Raw genomic sequence first — 12,312 nt, 5'->3', positions numbered from 1 at the left:
TCCATTTTGACTAAAGCAAAGAGGCTTCACCTAAGGGAGAAGCAGGAAGAGAGACTGCAGGGTTTCCCAAACTTTATTATATTCTGCTACAGTAGGTCTGGAGGGATAAGGGAATTTGGGGGGAGGAGGGTTGTGGGCAGGAGTGTCCTTTTTAAAATTTTTTTTCTCATTTTAAAATAGAAGTAATCCATGTACCTTATTTAGAAAACTCAAATCAGTAAAGTCAAATCACTACAGACGGACTCGTGAAAAGCAAAAGTCTACTGCCCCACACATCCCCACCCCCACTCTCACTTTTTGCCACCACTTTTAGTTATTTATTCTGATTTTTATCTCCATACCTACATAATATGTGGGCATTTAAAAAATCATTACTTTCAGACATTACCCATTGATGTCCTGCTATGAGAAATGAGGATTTAGATCATTTACAGCAAGTTCAACTCCGTCCTGCTTCTAGTATAGTTTAGTTTTTCTGTGGGTTATTGAGTAATGCCTTTATTTCCTGTTCCATGAACTACAGACAATATTTCTAAACTAGAACTTTGTTAGATGAGAGAATACCCTTTCCTATAGCCCCCTTCCGCACCATTAACCTCCCAACTTCTGTCATCTGGTCTTTTATATTGTCAAAACATAATGTTAAATTCTGTTCTGTAATCATAATTGAGTTTTTTTATGTTTGTCTATAGTTGGGTTCTAAAAGTTGAAAAGCAATAAACTGCTGTTAATATGACTATGTATTCTTCATTGCAGAGCAAAGCAATGTACTTTTTAATACTTTTTCCTTGTAGCAGCTTTCTATTTTTTCTGAAGTTTCTAATTCTGTTTTTCCTCTTTATCATATATTCCTTTTTTTTTTTTTTTTTTTTTTTTTTTTCAAAATCTCCATTAGGAATTCCATCAAGTCTACTTTTTGCCCCTTGGGAGACCTTCCCAGAGCCCTCAATCTCCTTTTCAAATCTTCACTAGTTGCTTTCTAAGGTCTGATGCATAGCTGTCATCTTGTGGCTTCTTGTCACTGCTTTCTATGGTTATATCCACTGTTTGCTGGTTCCCAAGGTTTTTGTTTTGTTTGTTTGCTTGTTCCATTGTTTTGATGGAGCACATCATCAAGTAAGTTTCTCAGAAAGGTTGTATAGGAAGTAGACTTCCTGAGTTTTTGCATGTCTGAAAATATTTTTTGTTTGTTTGAGACAGAGTCTCACTCTGTCGCCCAGGCTGGAGTGCAGTGGTGCGATCTCGGCTCACTGCAATCTCCAACTCCCGGGTTCAAGCGATTCTCCTGCCTCAGCCTCCTGAGTAGCTGGGACTACAGGTGCGTACCACCACGCGTGGCTAATTTTTTGTATTTTTAGTAGAGACGGGGTTTCACCGTGTTAGCCAGGATGGTGAAAATATTTTTATTCCATCCTCACACTTGGCTATAAAGTTTGAAGAGCAATGTCATTTTCCCACAGAACTTTGAAGGCATTGTTTCACTTTCTTCTAGCATTCAGTTTTGATGATAAGATGCATGATAGCAGTCTGAGTCTCATTGTTTTATAATTGACTTTCCCCATCACTTTTTCTCTTCTTTTTGGGACCTCAGTGACACAAATGTTAGATCTTTTATAATAGCCTCACAGGTCCTTGAGGCTCTGTTCATTCCTGCCCCCCAACCCCCCGTTTGTTTTCTAGATTGAGTAATTCCTATTGTTCTATCTTCAAGATTGTTGATTTTTTTCCTCTGCCCTCTCCATTTTGCTGTTAGCCTATCTGTTGAGGTTTTTATTTTTTTGTATTTTTCAGTTCTAAAATTCTGATTTGGTTCTTTATATCGTCTATTTTTTTGCTGACAGTTTCTACTTGTTTTAAGCATGTTTAAGCAAATTGTTGAGGCATTTTTATGATAGTTCCTTAAAAGCTCTTGTCAGATAATTTTAACATTTCTGTCATCTCAATGTTGGTGTTTATTGAGCATCTTTTCTCATTCAAGTTGAGATTTTCCTAGTTCTTGGTTTGATGAGTGATTTTTGATTGAAACTGGGCATTTTTGGTATTGTGTTGTGAGACGTTGGATCTTATTTAAATACTCAGTTTTAGCTTGCGTCCTCAGACACCACTCTGGCAAGGGAGAGGGCACATTGCCTCATTACTGCCAGGTGGGAGTAGAAGTCCAGATTCCCCACTCACTCTCTATTGATACCTCACCAGGAGGGTTTCCTAGTTACTGCTAGGTGGGAGTGGGAGTTCCAGCTGCCCGTGCAACCTTCTCTGACACCACCCCAGCAGAAAGGGAGAGGGGCAACCACTTACAGCTAGCAAGTGTGGAAGTCTAAGCTTCCCTCTTGGCCTTTGCTGGTGGATGGGAGTGGGACTACAGCTTTCTTCTGTGGTGTTAGAGCAGTTATTATCTAATTGTTGGCTTCTCCAGCCCTAAGTCTGGGATATATGAGACAAAAAACAAACTCAGGGAACTCACCAGTATGTCACTTCTCTGCTACCAAGTTCCCTACCCAGTTTGTCGCCTTCTATCCACCTTTCAGAATTTTATGTTTATACATAATGTCCAAGTTCAATTTTAGCTGTATTTGGTGGGAAGCATAGGGAAAAGTACTTCTACTCCATCCATCCCTCCTCCTGATTTTTGTTTTTGTTTTTTTTGTTTGTTTGTTTGTTTGTTTGTTTTTTTGAGACGAAGTCTCGCTCTTGTTCCCCAGGCTGGAGTGCAATGGCGCGATCTCGGCTCACTGCAACCTCCACCTCCCGGGTTCAAGCGATTCTCCTGCCTCAGCCTCCCAAGTAGCTGGGATTACAGGCGCCTGCCACCACACCCAGCTAATTTTTGTATTTTTAGTAGAGACGGGGTTTCACCATGCTGGCCAGGCTGGTCTCGAACTCCTGAACTGAGGTGATCTGCCCGCCTCAGCCCCCCAAAGTGCTGGGATTACAGGCTTGAGCCACTGTGCCTGGCCTCCTGTTATTTTTTAAGAATTGTATTCTTGGTATTCTGAAACTTAAAAATTATGTGTTTAGGTTTCAGATCTTTTGTCATTCATTGTGCTGGTCATTTGTTACATCCCTTCATTTTGAAGTCTTTTAACTCTGGGAAATTCTCACATATTATGTCTTTGATCTATTCCTTTATTCCATTTCCTTTATTCTCTCTTTCTGGAAATCCTTAATGTTAGATGTTAGATCTCCTGAATTTATCTTTTGTAATTTTTTATCCACTCTCCTATTTTCCATCTCTCGCTCCCTTCCTCTTTCCCTCCCTCCCTCCCTAGCTTTGTCCCTCTCTTCCTTTTGTTTTTGTTTACTTTCTGAGAGAAGACTTAACTTTATCTTTCAACCCTTCTATTGCATGTCTTTTCATGTGGCAATCAGATTTTAAATTTCTTAGTATTCACTCTTGTTCTCTTTTCCTTTCTTATTGCATTCTGTTCTTGTTTTATGGATGTACTATCACCTTGAATCTGAAAATAATAGAGATATTTTTATATTTCTTTCTGTTCTTTGAAATATCTATTTCATTTGGATTATTTTTTCCCTTGTTTACTTATTTTGGTCTCTTTCAAGTTGCAGTCTTTTCTCAAATGCTTAGTGATCCATAGTTGTTTGCTGATATTTAAGAATGTAGCAATAAAAATCTGATCAGAAGCTCTGTATATGGGGGCAGGGCTAGGCAACTGGTGGCCTTCCTTTAGGATGACTAGAGAGCTAACTTGCTATGCTGCAGAGTCCCTGAATGCCAGAATGCTAACGTCTTTTCTTTGAGGTTGTTCAATAGCCTTAGCGAAGAACCCTCTGGTTTTTGCCTAATGGGTAGACACCTGGCTGCTGTGAATTGTGCACAAGGGAGGGGGAGGGGGATTCATGGTTTGATATGCAGCCTTCCCATTAAACTCCCAATTTTCAGCCCCACATTTGACTCCCATCCTTTATCATACCTGGCATTGTCAAGACCAAGACACTCCAGGCTTCTGCAGAGAAAGAGCAACTTCTTCCTCTGAAGCATCACCTCCATGCATACTCCAGGCTGTGGCTTCCTCCACCATGCTCCATCAGTCACCATTCCTCCATTGACTTCTATCTTCCAGAAATTTGTTGAAATCTCTCTTTTGCTGATGGACCTGTTCCCACTCTCTTCATCATTGTGGATTTATACCCTTTTTAATCCCTTTACAATGATTTTAGCAGGGTCTCAGGAGGAAGTGGAGAAAAACACATGGTAAGTTTATCATCTTGACCTGGAAATCTACTAGTCTACTTTTAACTGTTTGGGTTTTTTTTTTTCCAGTAATTATCTTCATATCTCTAAATAATATACAGATTTTTCTTTTTCTTTCTTTTTTTTTTTTTTTGAAACGGAGTCTTGCTCTGTCGCCCAGGCTGGAGTGCAGTGGTGCGATCTTGGCTCACTACAACTTCTGCCTCCTGGGTTCAAGCGATTCTCCTGCCTCAGCCTCCCGAGTAGCTGGGATTACAGGCATGCGCCACCACGCCCAGCTAATTTTTGTATTTTTAGTAGAGGTGGGGTTTTGCCATGTTGGCCAGGCTGGTCTTGAACTCCTGACCTCTGGTGATCTGCCCGCCTTGCCCTCCCAAAGTGCTGGGATTACAGGCGTGAGCTACCACGCTCAGCCAATATACAGATTTTTCTATTTATCAACTTTTATTGATCAATTTTAGTCATTCTCTATTAACTTCCTGCTATTTATACCACCCGAATGCCTTTCCCATGCCTCCAATATAGCCATGTCACTAATTATATATCCTCTATTCCTTATCTTTCTACCTTTAACTAATAGACTTACTCTCCCTTTTCTCTCTTTTAACTTGTCAACTGCACTTTTATATTAACAAGGTTAATATTTACACTTTGTTCTATAACCATAATTAAGTCATCCATACTTTGCCAGTAGGTCATTCTAAAAGTTTAAGGGCAATAAAGTGTTTACATTATTATGATTATGTAAATATTGTTCCAGAAAGATCCAATTAGTATATTAGGATTACATTGCTTTTCTTATACACCTTTTTTTCCTTAGAGTTTCTAATTGTCTTTCTTTTTTTCCTTGCATTGTCTGACTTTATCACCTTCTTAAGTTATTCCAAAGTCTCAAGGAAAGTATAAAATCATTTGAATCCCCTTTTTCCCCAGATACCTTCTTCCTGGAGTCCTCCGTCTTCCTGTTCCAATTTGGACGGATTGCTCTGTAGGCCTGCGGTGCAGCTGTCATCCTGGGACGTCCCTTCATTATTCTGGGTTGGACCCAATCTTTCTTGGACCCCATATCTTCCTCTTTCTTAGTTTACTCCCTTGTAGTGGACATTGTAGTTGTTCTGCAGCATCCATTCCACTCCTCTCCCGCTGTATAACAACTATGCAATGTGAGTGGGATTGACCCCACCACCAGCTCTAGGTGTAGGCCTTTATTGGTATAAACTGATCTGAGTAATTTCACCCTCCTAGCCACAGTGATGACTGGTTCAGGGATGACCCAATCACAATGAGGCTTAGGACTTTTATTCAGCTTTTGAGGGAGGAGATGACCTATCTTCCCTTGGATAAGAACAAAGAAGCATGTAGCCTGGTTGCTGCTGTTAGCCATCTTGTGAACATGTGGAAGGCCTACCTGAGGATGGAGCTGAAAAATGGAGGAGGCAGAGCCAAGAGAATCACAGAAATGGAACCATATTCCGGATCATGCCATGCCTGAAATCTCCCTGCCTGTGGACTCTTCAGTTAAGTGAGCCAATGAATTGCATTTACTATTCAAGACAGTTTGAGTTGGATTTTGTATTGCTTGTCCCTGAAAGCATTCTAATTTATGTTTTTGGTTTTCTCACTCTGGAAAGGGGATGGGTGCATGTTTGGTTATATGAGGTATATTTGCACCGTATTAGGTGGAAGCTTTTTTTAAAAGCATAAATACGGGAGGAAGGCTATATGTGGATGTTGGATGACCAAAGGAGCGAACTCTACTGTTCTCTAGCATCTAATTTCCCATGCTGTTTTTTGGGGGAATCCCTGCCAAATTGGGAGGCATGGCCCTATTTCCCACTATGGAAACTGATGGTGGTCAGATATTTTCTTTCCCAGCCCGCCAGGCAACAAGGGCTGAATACTCTGTTCATGGCCTTGAATCTGGAACCAGCAACAAAAAGAAGGCAGGAATATACAAAATTAACAAAAGGATGATAGATTAGGAGAATATATAAGGAAGATAGTAAACCCAATAGGAAAATGGGCATAGGATATGAAGAGTAATTTATAGAAGGGGAAACTTGAGTTTACACAAGGGGAAACTTGAATATATTAAGAGCTTTTTCAACTCTGCCAATAATTAGAGAAATGAAATTAAAATAATAATGAGAAGTCACTACAGGAATGGTAACATGTAGAAAGTCAGATATTATCAAGTGCTGATGAATCAGGATGTGAGGAAAAGGACAACCATGAGTTGGAATGTAAACTGGTACAGGTATTCCAGAGAGAGTTTGGCAGCACCCATGAAATTAAGTATGTGAATACCCTACAACCCAGTAATCCCGCTTCTGGGCATATATTCCAGAGAAATTCTCATACAGGTCCTAAGAAAATATAGTTGAGGTTGTTCATTGCAGCACTGTTTGTGGTAGTGAGGAATCAGAAGCAATCAGGTGTTCATCACTATAGGACAGGATAAACAAACTGTATATTCATACGATGGAAAACTACAAAACAAAAGTAATAAACTAGATTTACATATAGCCACATGGATAGGTCTCTAAAATCCCCAGCATTGAGAGAAAAAAGTAAGAAACAGAATAGTATTTATAGTACAATTCCATTTACAGAAATGTAAAACAACACTATGTATTTTCATGGATATGCATATAAATAAACATATGGAAGACGGATTGAAAGTATACATACGTTAATTACACTGGAGAGGCTCACTGAGTTAGGCAGGAGAATGGGAGTAAGGATAGGGACTGATGGGGAAGAAGAAGAAGATAAAGTAAAAGAAGAACTAAAGTAAAAGAGCAGCCTTCAGTGAACTGGTCATAATGTGCCATAAATTGCAGATTATGATTAACTAAACTCTGAAGTCCACAACAAATAAACCAAAACAACAGATGTGAGGATGGTTGGAGCTCCCTTGCAGTGGCATGTGCCAGTAGGATAAGGTCCACTGGTAGGAGCAGTGCAGGGAGCAGTGCCAACAGCAGCATTCTAACCAGGCTGTTTTTATGGTGGACCCTTAGCTGTGGTTCCTGATGCCTGCCTTCCTCGCTCCCACTCCATGTTCTCAGCCTGATTCTCTAGACTTCCGTGAGCTACCTGATAACTTCATAATAAATCTCTTTTCTAGGCTGGGTGCAGCGGCTCACACCTGTAATCCCAGCACTTTGGGAGGCCCAGGCAGGCAGATCGCCTGAGGTTGGGAGTTCGAGACCAGCCTGACCAACATAGAGAAACCCTGTCTGTACTAAAAATACAAAAAATTAGCCAGGCATGGTGGCACATGCCTATAATCCCAGCTACTCGGGAGGCTCAGGCAGGAGAATTACTTGAACCCAGGAGATGGAGGTTGCAGTGAGCTGAGATTGCACCATTTTGAGACAGAGTCTTGCTCTTTCACCCAGGCTGGAGTACAGTGGTGCGATCTCAGCTCACTGCAACCTCTGCTTCCAGGGTTCAAGCGATTCTCCTGCTTCAGCCTCCTGAGTAGCTGGGACTACAGGTGCACGCCACCACGCCTGGCTAATTTTTGTATTTTTAGTAGAGATGGGGTTTCACCATGTTGTCCAGGATGGTCTCCATCTCTGGACCTCCTGATCCGCCTGCCTCAGCCTCCCAAATTGCTGGGATTACAGGCGTGAGACACTGCACCTGGCCACATCGTACATTTTGTTGGAGAACATCCTCGAGTAACTTCTTAAGAAAGGTAAATTTTAGGGTCTTTACATATCTGAATATGTAGTCATTGTTTTACCTTCATATTCCAATGATAGTTTGACTTTAGAATTCTATGTTAGAAACAATTTTTCCTCTGAATTTTGAAGATACTGCTTTAGCCTGTAGTGTCACTGATTAAAAGTCACATGCTAATATTATTCTCATTCCTTTGCTGGCAACCTGTTTTCTCTACATCTGGAAGCTTAATTTTTTTTTCTTCATACTTAGTGTTTTGAAATGTCACAATCATGTGCCCAGCAGTGGGGTTTTCCCTCGTCTACTTTGCTGGGCACCTGGTGGGTGGGCCCTTTCAATCTGAAGACTTGTGTCCCCCTGCTCTGAGAAGTTGCTGTTTTATTTCTTTGCTTACTTTCTCCGTTCTTTCTAGAACTCCTGTTAGTTGGATATTGGATTTCCTGGATGATTATCTTCTCACATATGTATTTTCCATGTCTTTTGTTTTTTTAATTCTATATTATGGGACCTTGTTTTGACTTTATCTTCTACTGGACACCTTTATTTTGGCAGTCATTTTTCATTTCTCAGCATTCTTATTCTCCAAAGATGCCTTTTCATTGCATCCTTTTCTTCTTTTTTTTATGAATGAAGTATCGTCTGTGTATGTGTACTTAATAGAACTTTACTGGCGTCTTACAGATAACAGAAGATAATTATCAGGCCAGACAGGAAACATTTCAAAGGATACCAGATAGAACCTCTCTGGGAGAAGGTCACTTATGCCTTTCTGAGGGAGGCTGCCTACTGGCTGTCCCTCTCCATAACCTCCCAGTTTCATACCATGTGTGGGCAAGATTGTCTTCCACCACCCTATGGTTCTCGCCATGTGCTCCCTGCCTGCAATCCAGATCTCCAGCTCTCACCATGGCATCAAAGAGAGGAGGCCATTTTCACATTCTTCACTCCCAGGCCAACTGCATTTCCTGCTCCCATGTAACACTCCCCATATCAATTTTCTTTCTGGGATTCTAACACACCTGCCGCACAGTGGTGATCTGGGCTCCGTAGCCCATAAGAGACCATCACAGTACTCAGCAGCACATGTCACAGAGTAGGTTGTTTTAAAGTTAAATAACCATGTATGTAGTAGGGCCAACAATCCAGCCTCATTCCTTTTTACAGTGCTTCCTCCAACAGGAGTCCATAGCATTTCAAACCTGCATGTCTCCTGATGTGGTCCCAATGGGGTATCTTCTGTGAGCAAAGGCCTGAGAAAAAATATGCACACATACCTCTCAAAAACAAACAATTTTCACTTTGGCATTTTAGTCCCAACATGAATTGGGACTAAACATGAATCTAGTCCCAATTCATGTTTAGGATAAAAAATTAACTCAGTGGAAGCATAGTACTGTAAAGGACACCCAGATTATATCAGTACACAGAACATTTAACATTTTAATCATAGTGGATATTTGCTGAGTGCTTACTCTGTGGCAGGCACTTGAGTTACTTTCATTTCATAAACAAGGAAAATGAAGCTCCCGGGTGTCATTTGCCCAGGGTCACAGAGCTAATAAATGGCAGACAGGAAATTGCACCAGGACTGTCTAACCACAGTCAACCCATGTTAACTGCTGTACAGAGCTGTCCTGGTTTCCACCAGCCACATTCAGGTTAATAGTGATAGCACAATTTTCTCTAAGATCAGTAGGTGGATACCTGAGATACCTCAGTCTAAGTAAAGAGCGTATTCTGGTAAGTTTGCTTCCAAGATGAATTGCTATCCTTTGCTCTGGAGATAGAAAACTATTACCAGCTTTTATTTTTAAGATTTCTTTTTTCATAGAAACCATAACACTTTATTTTTTAATTTAAATTTAATTTTATTTATTTATTTTTGAGACAGAGTCTTGCTCTGTTGCTCAGGCTAGAGTGCAGTGGCGCAATCTTGGCTCACTGCAACCTCGGCCTCCTGGGTTCAAGCAATTCTCCTGCCTCAGTCTTTGGAGTAGCTGGGATTACAGATGTGTGTCACCATGCCTGGCTAAGTTTTGTATTTTTAATAGAGACAGGGTTTCACCATGTTGGCCAGGCTGGTCTCGAACTCCTGACCTCAGGTGATCCGCTCGCTTTGGCCTCCCAAAGTGCTGGGATTACAGGTGTGAGCGACCACACATGGCCTAATTTTTATTTTTTATCAAAGGAATATATATACATACTTAAAAAAATAAAACAGTGCTAAGAGATGCCTAATAAAATCCAACAATATCCTGTCCTACTCCTTCCCACTGCAAGTCCTGCTCCCTAGAGGCAACTACTTCCAAATCCCTTGTTCCTTGCCACCTCCCACTCAGAGGCTGAAGAACCAGATACTTTCTTAGCCTCCCTTGCAGCTAAGGATGACTACGTGACCTGGCTTTGGCCAGTGAGATGTTTGCTGCGGGCCTTCTGAAAAAGTATTTGCTTTTCTGAGCAGAGGCACAAATAGCTGATGTTGTCCCCTTCTTTCTTTCTGCTTTGAATATAGTCAAGCCGTCTGGAGCTGTGACAGCCATCTTGTGACCATGTGGGGATGAGCACGAGGAAGAAGACAACATGTGAAGGAAGAAAGTCAGAAAGAGCCCAATTTCTTGATGGCATCATTGAGCAGCTGAACCCATGCCACAGTTCCTGTTAACTTAAAAAAATAAATAAAGCCATATGTGTTTAAGCCACTATCAGTTGAGTTTTTTGTTACTTGTAGCTGAAATGATTTTTATTTGATGGACCGCCATGGTTCCTTGTCATATGCTTATATCATTCTTTCTTTCTTTCTTTCGAGACAGAGTCTCGCTGCAATGCCCAGGCTGGAGTGCAATGGCACGATCTCGGCTCACTAAAACCTCCACCTCCCAGGTTCAAGCATTTCTCCTGCCTCAGCCTCCTGAGCAGCTGGTATTACAGGCGCCTGCCACCACACCCAGCTAATTTTTGTATTTTTAGTAGACACAGGGTTTCACCATGTTGGCCAAGCTGGTCTCGAACTCCTGACCTCAAGTGATCCGCCCACCTCAGCCTCCCAAAGTGCTGGGATTACGGGCATGAGCCACCGTGCCTGGCCACCATTATTTCTTAACTTAGCAATCTGAGACATTATCTCTTGAGATCTTATGGTAGAACAGGATTTACCTCTTTTCTATCTCTTCCACACACACACCCTACTTTCCCTCCCTTCATTCTTCCAATATGTTTATATCCAAACTCCTAGTAAATCAGTAGTCACTACAGAGCCAAGAAGTATACTATAATTACCTTTTTTTTCATTTTTTTATATTCCTGATTTTAATAATTGCTTGGACTTTTTCCACATTGGAAATGTGCCTAATCTTAGTTTTTCCCATTTGTTTCATCCGTTCGTTCATAAATCTATTAGCATATTTCTTCACAAATGTTCAAACCTATCAGTCCATTGATTTTTTTTTTTTTTTTTTGAGACGGAGTCTTGCTCTGTCACCCAGTCTAGAGTGCAGTGGCGTGGATCTCGGCTCACTGCAAGCTCCGCCTGCCGGGTTCACACCATTCTCCTGCCTCAGCCTCCGGAGTAGCTGGGACTACAGGCACCCGCCAGCACGCCCGGCTAATTTTTTGTATTTTTTAGTAGATACGAGGTTTCACCGTGTTAGCCAGGATGGTCTCGATCTCCTGACCTCGTGATCCGCCCGCCTCGGCCTCCCAAAGTGCTGGGATTACAGGCGTGAGCCACCGCGCCCGGCCGATTTTTTTTTTTTAAGACAGAGTTTCGCTCTGTCCCCCAGGCTGGAGTGCAGTGGCGCAATCTTGGCTCACTGCAACCTCCACCTCCTGGGTTCAAGCGATTCTCATGCCCTAGCCTCCCCCAGGTAGCTGGGATTACAGGTGCCTGCCACCATGCCCGGCTAATTTTTGTATTTTTAGTAGAGACATGGTTTCACAATGTTGGCCAGGCTGCTTTCAAACTCCTGACCTCAGGTGATTTCCCTGCCTCGGCCTCCCAAAGTGCTGGGATTACAGGCGTGAGCCACCGTGCCCAGCCTGGCCCATTGATTTAAGAAGAACACAATAAAAAGTTGAGCCGGACATGGTGGCTCACACCTGTAATCATTGCACTTTGGGAGGCCAAGGTGGGAGAATCATTTGAGCCCAGGAGTTTGAGACCAGCCTGGGCAACACGGAGAAACCTGGTCTCTATTTTAAAAATAAATAAAAAGTTGATTGATTTGGAGCCCTGTGTAAGGGCAGGTGTTTGTCAAGTCCCATTAAAGTGACTGAGTAAGGACCTGTACAATCTGCTGGAGGACCCCTAAGTACCGAAAATAGAGGCCTTTGCTTTGGGACTGTTTGGTTTCTTTGGAGAACCCGCTGATATTTTGCTGGAGTGTAGAGACTTGTTGGCTGCTGTGATT

General features: G+C 41.9%; 1 long non-coding RNA gene across 1 annotated transcript; it reads left to right on the top strand.

Annotated features, from left to right (window-relative positions):
* The first annotated feature begins 1,347 nt into the window (after positions 1 to 1,347).
* LOC124905191 (uncharacterized) lies at positions 1,348 to 10,605 on the top strand. The gene is made up of 2 exons (XR_007068243.1): positions 1,348 to 7,919; positions 10,419 to 10,605. It is a non-coding gene; the product is annotated as an uncharacterized LOC124905191 (long non-coding RNA).
* Positions 10,606 to 12,312: the final 1,707 nt, after the last annotated feature.

The sequence above is a fragment of the Homo sapiens genome, chromosome X, assembly GCF_000001405.40.
Source record: "Homo sapiens chromosome X, GRCh38.p14 Primary Assembly".
NCBI classification, from domain to species: domain Eukaryota; kingdom Metazoa; phylum Chordata; class Mammalia; order Primates; family Hominidae; genus Homo; species Homo sapiens.
Note: the sequence above shows the minus strand (reverse complement) of the source record. Positions and strands in the feature narration are given on the sequence as shown.